The 17779-nt window shown below is 38.1% G+C and overlaps 1 protein-coding gene and 1 pseudogene across 19 annotated transcripts in view; one reads left to right on the top strand and one right to left on the bottom strand.

Moving 5' to 3' along the window:
• Positions 1-17779, bottom strand: part of PPP1R12B (protein phosphatase 1 regulatory subunit 12B) — a 244004-nt gene that overhangs the window by 104724 nt on the left and 121501 nt on the right. The window lies entirely within an intron of this gene.
• Positions 15829-16173, top strand: RPS27P8 (ribosomal protein S27 pseudogene 8; annotated as a pseudogene).

Below are 17779 nucleotides of genomic sequence, written 5' to 3'. Positions count from 1 at the left end.
TAGGAAAAAATAGTATTTATATAGGGTTCTGTACTATCTGTAGGTTCAGTCATCCACTGGAAGTCTTGAAAGGTATTGTGTGGTGGGTCACGCCTATAATCCCAGCACTTTGGGAGGCCATGGTGGGAGGATCACCTGAGGTCAGGAGTAGGAGACCAACCTGACCAACATGCTGGAACCCTGTCTCTACTAAAAATACAAAAATTAGCCAGATGTGCTGGTGGGCACCTGTAATCCCAGCTACTCAGGAGGCTGAGACAAGAGAATCACTTTAACTTGGAGGCCGAGGTTGCAGTAAGCTGAGAATGCACCACTGCACTCCAGCCTGGGTGACAAGAGTGAAACTAGGTCTCCAAAAAAAAGAAAAAAAAAAAAGAAATGTATCTTCCATGGATAACGGGACTATTGTGTTTGTAAATGTATTACTGTTCACACAGAATCATGTCATCTGTAAAATGAGAATTTTATTTCTTCTTTCCTATCCTTCCAATTTTTATTTCTTTTCTTGACTTAATGCTTTGGCTAGGAATCTCTAGGACATGCTGAAAAGCAGTGATGATAGTAAGTTTTCATTCTCTGTAATCCTGCCATCAAAGAGAATGCTTTCAGCATTTTTTCATTAAGTGTAATGTTTGTTGTAAGATTTATGCAGATACCACTCATCAAATTAAAGCAATTCCCTTCTGTTCCTATAGAAAATAGGCTAAGAGAGTTTCTCGTTGTTGTTTTTTAATCATTAGTGTATGTTGAACTTTATCACATGCTATTCTTCCCCATATATTGAGATGATTGCTTTTCTCCTTTTTTCTGTCAGGAAGGTGAATTACACTGAATAATTTTTGAATGATAAAGCAACACTGAATTCTTGGGACAAGCTCAACTTGGTCAAGATGTACCATCTTTTTATATAGATTTTTAAACATATTCACTATTATTTAGTTTAGAATTCCTACCACATTCATGAAAGAAATTGGCTTATAATTTTCCCTTCTTGTAATATGCTGGTCAGCTTTGTGAATTAAGGTTATATGAATTGCGAGTGTTCTCTACATGTCTATTTCTGTAAGAATTTGTGTAAGATTTGGGTTATTTCCTCCTTAAATGATTGGAAGAGTTCACCAATCAAGTCATCTGGGTTTACAGTGTTCCTTGTGGGAAGGTTTTGTTTTTTATTTTTGAGTCTTACTTCGTTGCCCATGCTGGAGTACAGTGGCGTGATCACAGCTGACTGTAGCCTTGATTTCCTGGACTCAGGCGATTTTCCCGCCTCAGCCTTTGCAAGTAGCTGGGACTACAGGTGCACGCCACTACGCCCTGCTAACTTTTTTTTATTTTTAGTAGAGATGAGGTCTCGCTATGTTGCCTAGGCTGATCTTGAACTCCTGAGCTCAAGCAATCCTCCCACCTCGACTTCCCAGAGTGCTGGTTTATAGGCGTGAGCCACTGTGCCCAGCCCCTATGGGAAAGTTTTAAATAAAGGGTTCATTTCTTTAATAGAGTTAGGCTTATTCAAATTTTCTGTTTTGGTAATTGTTTTTTAAGAAATTTTCTATTTTGTCTATATTATCACATTTAGTGGCATCAAGTTGTTAACAATACCCTTAGAATATATTTGTTATTTTAATATCTAGAGCAGTGGTTCTCAAATTGTTTTGGTCTCAAGATCCTTTAATATTTTTTAAAATTATTGAGAACCCCAGAGAGCTTTTGTTTATATGGGGTTTAATATTTATCTTACTAGAAATTAAAATTTAAAAATTAAAAAATGTATTTATTAATTTATTTAAAAATAATAGCAGCCAGGAGCAGTAGCTCATGCCTGTAATCCCAACACTTTGGGAGGCCCAGGCGGGTAGCTGGCTTGAGCCCAGGAGTTTGAGACTAGCCTGGGCAACATGGCAAAACCTCGTCTCTTCAAAAAATACAAAAATTAGCCGGGTGCAGTGGCACATGCCTGTAGTCCCACCTACTCGTGAGGCTGAGATGGGAGGACGGCTTGAGCCTGGGTGGCAGAGGTTGTAGTGAGCTGAGAATATACCACTGCACTTCAGCCTGGTTGACAGAGCCAGACCTTGTCTCAAATAATAATAACAATAATAATAATATTAAAATAGCCCTAGATAAGATGGAGTGATGTCAGCAGGATGGCCAAATTGAGTTACCTAAAGCCCATCCTCTCCACAAAAAGGGACCAAAACAATGAATAAACAACGATATTTCAATTAAAATGACCAAAGAAGTACTCGGGAGAGCACTAGGGGAACAGCAAAATCCCTGTGGAAGACAAAAGTCCAGGGCAGCACCATAGAGAGGGGAGCAAGGTATTCTGCTTCTGCCACACTGTCTTCCCTACCAGGATCAGCCTGGAGCCAGAGGGGGCTTCTTAAGGGAAAAACGTAAGCTGGAGATCACCAGTGATCCCCATTGCTACCACAAATGCCAGAAATTCTTGCTATAGGAGAGTCCCTCTGTCCTCACAGGCCCTGAATCCAGTTTGGAGAGTAGAGTTCATACAGTTAACTTTGCCTAGAGTAGGAGCTCACCTTGAGCACCCCCTGCCCCCCACCCTCACATCCTAAGCTGCTGCTACTCAGCACCATCTTGAAACTGAACCTACTACTAGAATGTGCCCTTCCCTGTAGTCCAGTACAGGAATGGACTTTCTCCATTCCTGTAGCCCTGCCATCACTCTATCATGTTCACACAGGCACCTGTAGCACTACAATCCTAGCTGCCTGAAGCCTAGCCAGATGCAACAACTGAGACCTCTGCTCTTGAACCCATGTGGCACACTACCCTCCCAACCCCAGGAACAGCCAAAGCTGCACAGGGGGGAAACTGCCTAACTGCTGGCCAGTCCCCTCACCGGTACATACCTGCACTGCACAGCTAGCTGGCCAGCTGAACCTATGCACACCCACATCCAGCCCAACAACCAGTTCTACCGTGGTTCCATCCCTCAGACCGCTGCAGAACCACCCAGCCCTGCTGTGGCCACACACCACTGTGCCTGACAGCCAGTCTAGCAGCAGCCCTGCCCCAAAGACAGACCACTGCAGGGTTGTGTGGCCCTGCTGTACCCATGCTTGGCCTGATAGTTGGTCAAGCAGCAGCCCTGTACCCCTGGATTTCTCAGGAGAAATCCTGTAGGCCAGGAGAGAATGAGATGATATATTCAGAGTGTTTGGGGGAAAAAAATGAACCTGTCAGCCAAGAATACTATATCCAGCAGAGCTATCAACCACCAATGAAGGAAAAATAAAGACCTTCCCAGACAAGCAAAAGCTGAGAAAAACCCATCACCACTAGACTAGCCTTACAAGAAATACTTAAGAGAATGGTATAACTGGAAATAAAAGATTATAATTATTTTCATGAAAAGATGTAAAAGTATAAAACTCACCAATAGAGGTAAATTCATAAATCAAATTCAGACTAGCCCAGTGATTTAATGGTGCTATGTAAGTCTCTCAGTCCTCTAGTACGAAGGTTTAAAGTCAAAATGGTCAAAACCCGTGACACTTACAATTAGTAGCTAAGGAATACAATCACAGGTAAAAAAGTAAATTACAGAAACAAAAGAGAGAAGTCTAGAGTATTTTAATGCAACCAAAGTTAAGTTGCTATCAGCTTAAAACATTCTATTATAAGACTTTTAATGTTAGCCCCATGGTAGCCACAAAGAAAGAAAGAAATTACTGCAGAGGCACAAACAAGAAAGAGGAAGGAAACAAAGCTCAGCACTACAGAAAACCACCAAACCACAGAAGTAAATAAAAGAGGAAGAAAGGAACGAAGGATCTATAAAACCACCAGAAAAAAAAATTTACAAAATAGCAGGAGTAAGACCTTCTTTATCAATAATAGCCTTAAATATAAATGGATTAAATTATCCAATTAAAAGATATAGAGTGGCTGAACGGATTAAAAACAAGACCCAACTATATACTGCCTAAAACAGACTCACCTAACCATTAAAGACAAACATAGAATAAAAGTAAAGGGAGGGAAAAAGATATTCCATGCAAATGGAAACCAAGTGAGCAGGAGTAACCATGTCAGATAAAACAGACTTTAAGTCAAAAACTGTAAAAGAAGACAAAGAAGGTCATCAGACATTGATAAAGGGTACAATTAAGCAAGAGGATATAAAAACTATAAATACATCCATCCATCCAAGACCAGAGCGCCCAGATATATAAAGCAAATATTATTAGAGGTAAAGGGAGAGATAGACTGCAATACTATAACAGTAGGTGTTAAATGTAGTGAACTCCAAGTTTCTCTTCAAAGAATCAGTATGCCAGTATATTCAGCTCTCTTATTCTCTATTCTCCATTTTAAAGCTTAACTTCCTGGTTCTCTTCACCCTCTTGCCTCTAGCTTCAGTAAACAACCCCCTCCTAGCCTCTATCACCTGCTCTGACCTGAGTCATCCTGAGTCACCTGTTCTGTAACCGTCGTTCCCACCAAACTACTCACTGGGATTTTGGGCACAGACTTCCTCTGTTCCCTCTGTCAGTCTTTCTCTCTTTTTACATATACTTTTTGGGCTTCTCTTAGAAGCTCTTCCATAGGTTTATCTTTCCAGTTCTCTATCTTTTGTAATTTCTTGTTAATATCTTAGCCAAGATTGCGCCTACTGCATTCTGGCCTGGGCGACAGAGCAAGACTCCATGTCAAAAAAAAAAAAAAAAAAAGGTGTTCTTCATAGAAATAAAACAAAATCCTAAAATTCATAGGAAACCAGAAAAAAAAAATGAATAGCCAAAGCAATTCTGAGTGGAAAGCTGGAAGCATCACACTACATAACTTAAAAATATACTACAAATGTATAATAACAAAAACAGAATGGTACTGGCATAAAAACAGACACGTAGACCAATGGAACAGAATAGAAAGCCCAGAAATAAATTGACACACCTAAAGCCAACTGATTTTTGACAAAGGTGCCAAGAACACACATTAGGGGAGAAACTGTTTCTTCAATAAATGCTGCTGGGAAAGTGGGACATCCACATGCAGAAGAATGAGAGTAAATCCCTACCTCTCACCACATACAAGAATCAATTCAAAGTAGATTAGAGACTTAACATGGAAACCCAAAACTATGGAACTACCTAGAAGATAACATAGGAGAAATGCTTCATGACATGGGGCTAAGCTAGGATATTTTAAATAAGACTTCAAAAGCATAGGAAACAAAAGCAAAAATGGACAAATGAGATTGCAACAAACTAAAAAGCTTTTGCATAGCAAAGGAAACTATTAAACAGAGTAAACAGACAACCTAAAGGATGGGAAAGAAAATTTGCAAACTATACATCTGACAAGGAGTTAATATCCAGAATATATAAGGAACTTAGCAGCAAACAAAACAAAAAAACAAAAACCTGATTTTAAAAATGGGCAAAAGACCTTAACAGACATTTACTTCTCAAAAGAAGTCATACAAATGGCTAATGAGTATATGAAAAAATGGTCAACATCACAAACCATCAGGGAAATGAAAATCAAAACCACAATAGGTACCATTTCACACCACTTAGAATGACCATTATCAAAAAGACAAAAGAAAACCAGTTTTGGCAGGGATGTGAAGAAAAGGGGAACACTTACACAAGTTGGTGGGACTGTAAGCTAGTACAGCCATTGTGGAAAACAGTATGGAGGTTCCTTTAAAACGTAAAAATAGAACTACCATATGATTCAGCAATCCCACTACTGTGTACACATCCAAAGGAAAGGAAATTAGTATATTGAAGAGTTATCTGCCTTACCGTGTTTATGGCAGCACTATTTACGTTAACAAAAATATGAAACTGAGTCCTCAAAAATGGAAGAATGGGTAAAGAAAATGTGTATATCCAGAATGGAACAGTATCCATCCATTAAAAAAAAAGAATAAAATCTTGTCATTTGCAACAACACAGATGAACCTGGAGGATATCAGGTTAAGTGAAATAAGCCAGACACAGAAAAAAAAAATACTGCATGATCTCACTAATATGTGCAATCTAAAAAAAGGTGGGGGGAGTTGATATCATAAAATCAGAGAGTAGAACAGTGGTTACCAGAGACTGGGGAGGGAAGAGGTGAGAGAAGGATGGGGAGAGGTTGGTTTATGGTTCAAAGTTATAATTAGACAGGGGGAATAAATTCTGATGTTCTATTGCAGAGTAAGGTGACTATGGTTAAAAGCAAAATATTGTATATTACAAAATAGGTAAAAGAGATGCTTTTGAATGTTCTTACCACAAGGAAATGATAAATGCATGGATGATGAATATACTAACTACTCTGATTAGATCATTATACAACACAGATATGCATCAAAACATCAAACTGTACCTCCATAAATATGTAATGTGTCAAATAAATTTTAAAATAAAAAGAAAATAATAGCCCTAATACATTTTAACATCAATTTTTTTTTATTAAAAAAACTATATCTTCCAAAACAAAAAATTAGAAGAGTGGCATTGTTTTACATTTTCATAAATTTCTTTAATGTTGGCTTAATAGAAGACAGTGGGATCCTCTTATCTGTTTATGCAGTCAATATATTGTTTTGGTTAAAATATATAAAGACTATCTAGTCTTGCACAAATACATAGTTGGAAAAGCGAGGAGTATTGTGATAGCTTTCTCAGATAATCGGGAGATATTTTTCTTTGATGCTACACCAACACAAGTGGTGGTTAGTTACAATGTGTACTCTAAAACAGGGGTCCCCAACCCCCGGGCTGCAGACCAGTACTGATCTGTGGCGTGTTAGGAACCACGCTGTACAGCAGGAGGTGAGCAAGTGAGCATTGATGCCTGAGCTCTGCCCTCTGTCAGATCAGCCACGGCATTAGATTCTCATAGGGACGTGAACCCTATTGTGAGCTGCCCATGCCAGGAATCTAGGTTGTGCATGCCTTATGAGAATCTAACTAATGCCTGATGATCTGCAGAACAGTTTTACCCAAAACCATCACTGCCCCCCACACCCCATGCCCCCACCAGTCTGTGGAAAAATTGTCTTCCATGAAACCAGTCCCTGGTGCCAAAAAGGTTGGGGAACACTGCTCTAAAACATATTAATAGATTTTTCATATTCTGTTACATTGAAATCCTTTGGTCTATCTTGTACTTTCAAAGAATCTTCTTAGTCATGCATGATTTTGTAACATATCTTCATTAGTCATTTGTAAAATATTGGTGCATTTGTAAAATATTGCTGCATTAAGCAGATCTTCCCAATATTGACATACTACATTATATAATAATAGTAAAAATAAATTATTTAATATCACCTTTGATCTTAGAACAGTCTTTAAGTATTGGGAAGCTGTCAATAATATTACTCACGGTAGCATATAAGTTTTCTAAAATTCTAATTTCTGCTTGAAAGTTTAAATTTTTAATTGGCAACAAATACTCAATGGGTTGACTTTATTTTCAAGAAAATGTCTGCCAAATTACTCAGGTGTGAATACCCATTGTTTGACCATCAGTAATGCTTTGAAGTAAAAACGGTGTTCTGTGAAAAATGAAGCTAGCTTCTGTCTTCTCTTGGGACTCCAATCATTTATGTTAGACCTTACTGGCCATGTTCTACTGATTTATCATGCTTTTTCTGCATTTTCCAGCCTTTTATCTCTCTGTGCTTCATTCTGGATATTTTCTACTGTCCAATCTTTCAGTTCACTAATCATTTCTTTAGCTGGTCTACTACTGCAAACTCACCAACTGAGTTTCTTGATTTCAGTGATTTTTTGTTTCTAGAATTTCCACTTGATTGTTTTTAACAGACTGCAGTTCTCTGGTGAAAATCTCTACTTCTTATCTACTTCCTGGAACATATTAATCACAATTATTTTAAAGTCCATGTCTGATAATATCAGTATCTGGACTTGTTCCTATTGTCTATTTTTTCTTTTGGTCTTTTGGTAACTCTTATTTCTTGGTATGTATGCTAATTTTTAAAATAACATCAGGCATATTTAATAAAAAAATGTAGTGAGTGATAACTCATGATTGTTGTTGCTACCCTTCAGAGAGGATATTTTTTCCCCCTGGCAGTTAGGCTAAGGAAGTGGTTCTTAAACTTTCACTTGTATCAGAACCACTTTGAGGGCTTATGCAATACAAATTTCTGAGTACCACACCACCAGAGGTCCTGATTCAGCAGGTCTGGTGTAGGGGTTTGATAATCTGCATTTCTAATTAGTTCAGATGACACTGCTGGTCTGGGGACCACATTTTAAGAACCAGGAGACTAAGGCAAAGTACCTTAATCCACTTTGAGACTGAGCTGATTGGAAGCTAGGCTTCAGTCTTTTCAAGGGCTGGTCTATTTCTGGTAAGCCCTTAGAATGTAGCCCTTCAGTGGTTCTAAATCAAAGTCTGGGGTATCCGCTAGGCTCTCTTTCTGAACTCCAATCATTCCCTGAGTCCCATGAGACTACGAAAATCTTGTTCAGTTTCTCAGGCTCATAGCCACTGCTTTACTAATCAGCAAATACCTCAAGGGGAAAAGTAGAGCCAAATGTTGGGTTTACCCTTTTAAGGTTTCCTTCTCTCCAGGATCTTGATCCCTCAAGTTCTCACTTGCTTTGTAACTCTCAAGTACCTTCAAAAACTTTTTTCTTATATTTATCCAGTTTTTTCTAGTTATTCTCAGTGGAAGATTTTACATAAACAAAATATGCCACAGACTGAAGCAGAAGTCCCCAACCAGGCAATGTTTTTAATACTCATATTTTTTCCCTCAAGGTAAATTAGTAAATTGGAATTCCAATACGTGTGTCAATATGCTATAGTTTGGTAGGTTTGCATATTTCCTTAATATATTCCTCGCCTCTGAGTGAACTAAAAAAATTAAGTCCCAAAACTAAAGCTGTAGTCCAGATACTGGAATTGGTGAGAACTAACTTCCCATGAATTTCTGTCTAGATTACCAGCAAACCTACTCACGTGTTATTTCTACCTGCAAAACATACAGTATCACTATTATACTGAATTCTTGATCTTTATCTCTTCTTTGCATACAGGACAGAAGGCACAGTGAAAGAAAAAGGGCTCCCTTATCCTACTGCCTACTCTAGAGAGTTTTTTTGAATGAGAGAAACAGAGCTCATAAAAACCTGGTAGGTAAGATCAGGAATATTTTACCTGACTTGGAATCTTAAATATCTGAAATCACACATGTGAAATCACACTGCTTTTTTTCCCCAGGGGAAAAAACAGACAAAAATATGAAAACAAAAATCAACTAAAATTCCACCACATGGAGATAATCTCATTTTTATTTTACTGCATATAAGTCCAGATTGTATGTAAATATATACTATACAAACTATATATAGTTTTTTATAAACTATAAAACTATAAAAACTATATACTATGAATATCACACATATTATTCTGTAACCTGTGTCAATATATGAGAGTTTTACTATTTAAGAAAAAATATATAAAAACAAAACCCATAAATTCTAGTACTTGAACTGTAAATGTTTTTGAAGGAACATTTTCATTCATTTTTCTTTATCTCAGATGGGCATTCCAAAGATTACAGAAGTAATGTGCCTAACTTATAGCTGCGTTGAGAACATACTACGTTTTCAGTAGAGACTAAGTCCTTCTGTAACACTTTCTAAAATCTAGACCAGCTGGTCAGCAAACTATGATCTTGGGCCAAATCTGGCCTGCAACATTTTTGTAAATAAAGTTTTATTGGAATCACAGAGCAGAGTTTAGTAACTGCAACAGAGACAACATGGCCTGCAAAGGCCAAAATAATCACTATCTGAACCTTTATAGAAAAATATTGCTGACCCCTATGTAGAGCAAGCCCTCACTCCACACTCCTTGATTTTTCTGAGAAGCATTGCAGCCATCCATGAATCTGAATGCTACAGGATTCTTCATTGCTATGCAAAGAAGACAGATACAGTCTCACAAAACAGAAATAAAAATAATGGAAGCCATGGCTTCTCATCTATCCCCTCGCCTTCTGGCATCCGGAAAAAACCAGGCTAACACTCACAGTTTAGTAGCATGAGAAGGAATTCAGATGCCAAAGTCCTCTTATTACCATCTCTATCTACTATGTTTCCTAGAGGGCAGGAAGAATTTTTCTTTGTATTTGGTATGATATTGAGATTACACCATCAGTGGCATTCAAATAATTGATTACAGAGAATTAAGCATGACTTCAAAGATACACTTTGTACTTTGTCACTAAAGTTTATACTGCCCCTTCACACACTATAAATGGACAAATTCTGCCTCAAGAAGTTGTTTTGGGAGAATTGCTTGAGCCCAGGAAGTCAAGGCTGCAGTGAGCCATGATTGCACCACTGCACTCTAGCCCAGGGTGACAGAGTGAGAGCCTGTTTCAAATAAAAAAGAAAAGAAAAGAAAAATAAAAAGGAAGTTGTGCAAAACATCCAGCAAATCACCAGTGAATATTTTAAAAGTCACAATAAATAATAATAAAAGACCTAAACTGTCTTTTGACAGGTATAGTGTAGTGATAAAGTACCCTGGCATAAAAATCATACTGCCTGGGTTTGTACCATGGCTTCTCAGCTTACTTGGTAGGTGATTGTGGATAAATTATTTAAGCACTCTATACCCGAGTTTCTTATACAATGAAGATATGAGCAGTTGTAACAGATATATACAGATATATTAATAGAGTTGTGAAGATTAAATGCAAACCCATGTAAGGCACTTAGAATAGAACCTGGCACACGTTTGCTGCTACTACCATGACCAGAACTACTATCATCACGACCAACACTCTTACTACTACATTATTTTCATTGTCATATTAAAAGCTCATCAGTAATAATTTGGAAAATAAAGAAAGGATAGGTGTGCTACAATATTCATCACATCTTAATCAAAGAGTTCCCCTTAATTATTTTTACCAGGTATGGCTAACTCATTTGGAAGAGGACTTAATTCCCTTGAAATATTCTCCATGAAGGTTCATAGGGTTACCTAAGTAAAATAAAACTACTCCAAGTAGAAGAATGAAAAAAGAAATAATCATAATTTCCAAGGAGAGAACAACGCTGCTTTCTCTAGAATGATAACAAAATAAATTTTGTCCGGAATCCAATGGGAAATTGGGTTTTGAAGTAGCTTTAGAGTCCTATACCTCAAATCTGTTGAGGAGAGAATGGTATTTAAACATGTTCACTCCAAACAGGAAAGGAACTAAGTTGAGTATATAGCTTTTATAGATGTATCTTGTAGTATATGTCTTACTAAAAAAAAATTTTTTTTTTTTTTTGAGACAGAGTCTTGCTCCGTCTCCCAGGCTGGAGTGCAGTGGCGTGATCTCGGCTCACTGTAACCTCTGCCTTCCAGGTTCAAGCAGTTCTCCTCCCTCAGCCTCCCGAGTTGCTGGAACTACAGGCATGTGCCACCAGGCCCAGCTAATTTTGGTATTTTTAGTAGAGCGGTGTTTCCACCACATTGGCCAGGCTGGTATCAAACTCCTGACCTCAAGTGATCCCCTGCCTCAGCCTCCCAAAGTGATGGGATTACAGGGTAAGCCACCACAGCCTGGCCATAGAAATTTACTATATTTATATATTATATAGCTTATAATATATAAAAACATAATTAAAGACACACTATATAAATATCTTATAGTATATATCTAATACTGACCACTGAGGATGCTGTGGTCATTAATTACAGAATATCTAATGGTCTTATAAGATAGTTTATTATTCATTGAACTATATCTTTTTTTTTTTTTTTTTGAGACAGAGTCTCACTCTGTTGCCCAAGCTGGAGTGCAGTGGCACAATCTCAGGCTCAATGCAACCTCTGCCTCCTGGGTTCAAGCAATCCTCCCGCCTCAGCCTCCCTAGTAGCTGGGACTACAGGCGCATGCCACCACACTCAGCTAGTTTTTGCATTTTTTAATAGAGAAGATGGAGTTTCACCATGTTGGCGAGACTGGTCTCGAACTCCTAACCTCAGGTGATCTGCCCGGCTCAGCCTCTCAAAGTGCTAGGATTACAGGCATGAGCCACGATGCCCAGTCAATGTCCTGTGTATTAACATAAGATTACATCGACAAAAGTTCTTCAGAGATCCCAAAAAAACCTTCTTTAATATCAACCTGGAAGTACATATGGATAGCTACTGGGGGCCGGGGCAGGGGGACAGACTTAGGGGGATCACGGGAATCACAGACCTATGCCTACAGACTTTATGAATTCAAGATGTCATTTGATCTAATTCTAAGACTTCAGGTAGACACAAAAAATGTATTCCTATTTTACGGATGAGTCAATAAAGGCCTAAGGAGATGCTAAAACACCCAAGTAACAACGTTATATACCTAAAGGGATTTTAACCATGTTCTCCTGCTTCAGGTACAGCTTTTCTTATATTGCACCACAATGAACACTGTTTCCTCCACTCAGTACCATGGTATTTCTAGCTATGTAGATTTATGTAGCAAGACATTTCTTCTAGCAAATCCTGCAATATCGGGAACTAATGGATAACAATGTCCTGCATTAAACTTCTCCTAGCATCCCCTGACATTTCCCAAAAGTCTGTCATAATCAACACTCCATTCTTGGGAAAGTATGATTTTTACATTTCTAGAAATTTCCGTCAACATGCTATAAGACTGCCATGAACAAACTATAAACATTAAAAATATTAGGGATAAATTCTTCTTTGGAGGATGCATTTGACTCTACAGTTGCTAGGACCCTATGAGGTAAATTTTAGTTCAAATTTTCCTTGCTGTTCCTAATTGGGAACGGGAGGCTAATACTATGGTACAATAGAAAGAACAGGCACCTGGGTTCTAATTTTAGCTCTGCCATTAATTACTTGTTTGGTCTTAAGAGAATCACTTAATCTCTTGGAACTCTAGTTTTCTTCATCTGTAAAACAAAGGGGTAAATCTAAAATTTTAAAGATCCCATTTAGCTTTAAACCATGGTGAATCCAAATTTATACTGATTCTGAACAAACGGCCTCTAAGTCTCCTCACTAAATGTCTATTCTCAGTCTGGCCAAATACTACATTTCTTATATTTCATAGGTTACTTTCTTTAGTACTGACCAACAGAACTTTGTGTAATAATGGAAATGTTGTATACCTGCACAGCCCAATATGGTTGCCACTAGTCACATGTGGTCACTGAGCAGTTAAAAGAGGAACTAAATTTTAAATTTAATTTTAATTATTTAAATTTGAGTAGCCACACATGGCTACTGATTACCATACTGCACACCACAGCTCTAGAAGTCCCGAGAATCCAATTAAAAGACAATATTATCAAGCCCTCTCCTCAAACCTGAAAACCAGATCCAACTCATAAAACATAAACTTAACAAAATTTCATCAAGAATGCAATTTGTGGCTGGGCGCGGTGGCTCATGCCTATAATTCCAGCATTTTAGGAGGCCGAGGCGGGCAGATTACCCGAGGCCAGGAGTTTGAGATCATTCTGGCCAACACAGTGAAACCATGTCTCTACTAAAAACAGAAAAAATTGCATAGTGGCCTACACCTGTAATCCTAGCTACCGGGGAGGCTGAGGCACGAGAATCACTTGAACCTGGAAGGCAGAGGTTGCAGTGAGATCGCACCACTGCACTCCAACCTGGGCGACAAGAGTGGGACTCTGTCTCAAAAAAAAAAAAAATGCAATTTGTTAGTCAGCTAAGTTTAAAAGCAATTGATTCCATTTTCTTCTCAAAGTTCTCATTTTTCTCCTATGCTTCCTGGAGGCAGTATTACAGTAATCTTACATTTTTATATGTGGTACTTTAAGTAGTACGATATAATGCTGGGGTTCCCACCTTTAAAACAGTTCTATAGATATAGCAAATAGGAACAAGCCCACAGATACAGCACACTTTAGAGCTACTTTTTCCCAACTGCAGCATTTATACTCTGCTGTCTCTGTACACCTTTCCCTGTACCACCCTACTTTCCCTCTGCCCCCTTTGACAAAGAGCGCTCCAAGAAAACAGGCTGTTACCTCCTCGAGCAGGCCTGCATAGCAGAACGAAGGTCAAGAGATGCGTGGAAATGAATAGCAAGAAAGGTAAGTGGCTGCTGGGAAAGACTGCAGTCTCAGCACCCGGTCTCCCTTGGAAACTGGAAAAGGCTTGCACTGCCACTGCTATACAGCAAGCCAGAGGCAAAGCTTGCAATTTGCTAAGGAGCTGCTACTAAGGAGGAGGAGAAGGAAGGGGAGGAGAAAAGGGAAAGAAGGCAAAATCTTGGGCCTCGGCAGAGCCAATGCTGCTAATAGTTCCCAAAATAACATTCCATTAGATGCATGTTTTATACACTGTACCAAACCAATCAATACTACTTCTCATTTGACAGGGAGGTGAAAGAGAGAAATTCTTCCTCATGTGAAAGAAGACAGAGCAAAGAGAGATGCAGCATTCTCATTCTGGATCCTATTTCATCTGCCCTTGAGCTACCCTAGCTGCTGCATCCATCCAACTGAGCTGTAAATACTGCCTCACTTGAGGCTCAGGCATAGCCAGCTAGCAAATGCCAACAGCTGTGAAGAGACAGATAAAAAAGGAACACCTGACACACAGAAATGCAGGAACAAATTTCATATCTGCTATAAATGGGTTAAACCTAGATAGAGAAAGAGTGTACATACCACTCAATTTGATAAGCTAGCTACAGATCAGGAAGATTTCTAGATCTAATATGTGTCACATATCAAAATATGATCTGATTTCATAGTTTAGGACAACTGCATTCAAATGCTCATGTGTCATTTTTGGCCTCTCTAATTTGACACTGAGATCAGAGCTGATGTTTAAGCAACGAATCAAAGCTACAATTCCATTAAGAATTTTTTAAGAAAGAATTTCCCTCAGCCAAACTAAGCATTTCTTAAATCTAGACCTATAATTAACTGGCCCCAAATGTCAAGAGTGCTGAGTTTGCAGGGGCTGAAGTCAGCAAATTTTGTCTGTAAAGGGCCAAACAGTAAATCTTTCAGGTTTCGCAGGCCTACTCAACAGCTCTGTTGTGAGACCAAAGCAGTCACAGACAACACATAAATGAATAGGCAAGGCTGTGTGACTACTGCTTGCTGTGCTACACCAGCAGAAGGGAGCAGTTGCAACAGAAACCATGTGGCTTGAAAAGTCTAAAATATTTACTACCTGGTCCTTTGCAGAAAACATTTGCTGATCCCTGCTCTAGACACTAAGTTATTTATCACCAAGCTATGGCTCAGAGAAGTCCTTTTGCTTTAGAGAAAGTGTGAGTCTGGTGTTTCTGTGACCTATCTTAGATAACTACTATATCATCTTGAATTCTTTTCCATCTGAACATTTGTTCCATTAAAAACATGCCAGCCTCAAGTGCCAAAGCCACTTTCACAATGACAATGTTTTTACTTACATAGGTCACTCTACAGTTAGTTCACTGGTCAGAACAAGTGTTACCGATGGTAAGAATGGCAGATTCAAGCACCAACAAGGCCAGTGAGTGCTGCTTTATTTCACATACATCAGCTATACCAGCTGGACCTGGCCAACTGTCTCAAATATTTATCATTTACAACAAAGTAGACTAGACCAAGACAAATTCAGCACCACCACTCATTTTTTTTAACAAGACAGCTCAAGAAACTAAACACACAAAATGTATATGGAAATAACCTATATATCAAACAATAAGGGGAATGGTTAAATAAAGAACGTTCATATGATAAAATATAGACATTAAAAGACAAACTAAAAAGTACTATATATATGTAAGTTCCAAAATATTCATATCTGGAATATATAAAAAACTTTTGTTTTCCGGCGGTGATGACCTACGCACATGAGAACATGCCTCTCACAAAGGATCTCCTTCATCCCTCTCCAGAAGAGGAGAAGAGGAAACACAAGAAGAAACGCCTGGTGCAGAGCCCCAATTCCTACTTCATGGATGTGAAATGCCCAGGATGCTATAAAATCACCACGGTCTTTAGCCATGCACAAACGGTAGTTTTGTGTGTTGGCTGCTCCACTGTCCTCTGCCAGCCTACGGGAGGAAAAGCAAGGCTTACAGAAGGATGTTCCTTCAGGAGGAAGCAGCACTAAAAGCACTCTGAGTCAAGATGAGTGGGAAACCATCTCAATAAACACATTTTGGATAAAAAAAAAAAAACTTTTACCCATTTTTTAAAAAAGAACCAACCTAATGACAACAACAAAATCAACAAAATACATAATCAGGAATTCACAAAAAAGGAAACCAGAAAAGCATATAAACATAAGAGAAAATGTTGTTTCACTAGTAATAAAAAAAATGCAAATTAAAATGAGAAATGATTTCATCTTCCTTAGATTACCAAAAAAGCAGTAGCAGCAAAAAAAAAAAAAAAAAACATTTTAAGTCTAACCTAGTTGAAAAGAATGAGAAACTCACGTACATTGCTGGTGAGAGTAAAGAGGAGAGCAATCAGGCAGTGTCCAGTGAAGATGCACTTACCCTATAGACCCGGAAATTCCATTTGGAAATAAATACTGTTGAGAAACTCTTGCACGTTTGTGTAAGAAACATGAACAAGAATGTAAACAGCAGCATCATTAGTATTAGGGGAAGAAAAAAAAAAAAGACCTAAATACCTAAATGTCCATCAGCACAGGAAAAAAACAAAAACAAACTGTGGTATAATTGTACAATGGACTAAAATAAACATTTAGAATGAACAAACAGAATGCTAAGTGACAAGAGCAAGTTTCAGAATGATGTGTGCAGGTTATACCATTTATATAAAGTATTAAAACATGTGAAAGAATTATATAAGTATGCAAATGAAAAATAATAGTGATAAAAATTTGAGAATGATAAATAGCAAATTCAGGATAGTGATTAATTTTAGGCAGAGAGTCAAGAGATGAGACTGAGGAGAGATACACAGGAGCTTAGCTATATTTTATTCTTAATAACTGAAGCAAATATGGCAAAATATTGGGATTTGATCAGACCAGAAGATGGAGAGATTGGGTGTTTGTGATATTTGGTAACTTTTTGTTCATTTTTTTTTTTTTTTTGAGATGAGGTCTTGCTCTGCCACCCAGGCTGGAGTACAGCTGGCATGATCATAGCTCACTACAGCCTCGACCTCCTGGGCTCAAGTGATCCTCCCACATCAGCCACTTGAGTAGCTGGGATTACAGGCACAGGCTCCCAGGCCTGGCTAAAATTTTTTTTTCTTTATAATTCTCTGTAGAGATGAGGTCTCACTATGTTGCCTAGGCTTGTCTTGAACTCCTGAGTGCAAGTGATCGTCCCACCTCTGCCTCCCAAAGTGCTAGTATTATAGGCATAAGCCACTGCACCTGGCCAATAATCTTTTAAAAGAAAAAACCATATATAGCATGATCTCAAAATAAATAAAATATATAAAGATGTTAGCAGTGATACTGCTGATGGTGAGAATACGGGCAATTTTTATTTTCTATTTAAAATACAGTTACTGTGGGAAATTTTGTAAACTTTTTAAAAGTTAAGGTTAGAAACTTTTAACTTTGAAAAATGATCATTCATATTTAAAGGACTGTTCCAAACAGTAAGATATACATAAAAGAGATGTATTTGTATTTCACACTTTTTTTTATTACCATAGTTCATAGTGATATAGAAAGCACAGGTACTCCTCAGTATATGCTAAATACTAAAGGAAGCTAAATATGCCAGAAAAAAATTGGTCCGCCATAGGGGGCAGAGAGAGAATAGAGGTCAGAAGTGGTAGAAAAA

The sequence above is a fragment of the Homo sapiens genome, chromosome 1 (genome assembly GCF_000001405.40).
Source record: "Homo sapiens chromosome 1, GRCh38.p14 Primary Assembly".
Taxonomy (NCBI): domain Eukaryota; kingdom Metazoa; phylum Chordata; class Mammalia; order Primates; family Hominidae; genus Homo; species Homo sapiens.
The sequence above is the reverse complement of the archived record's forward strand: the minus strand, read 5'-3'. Positions and strand labels throughout refer to the sequence as shown.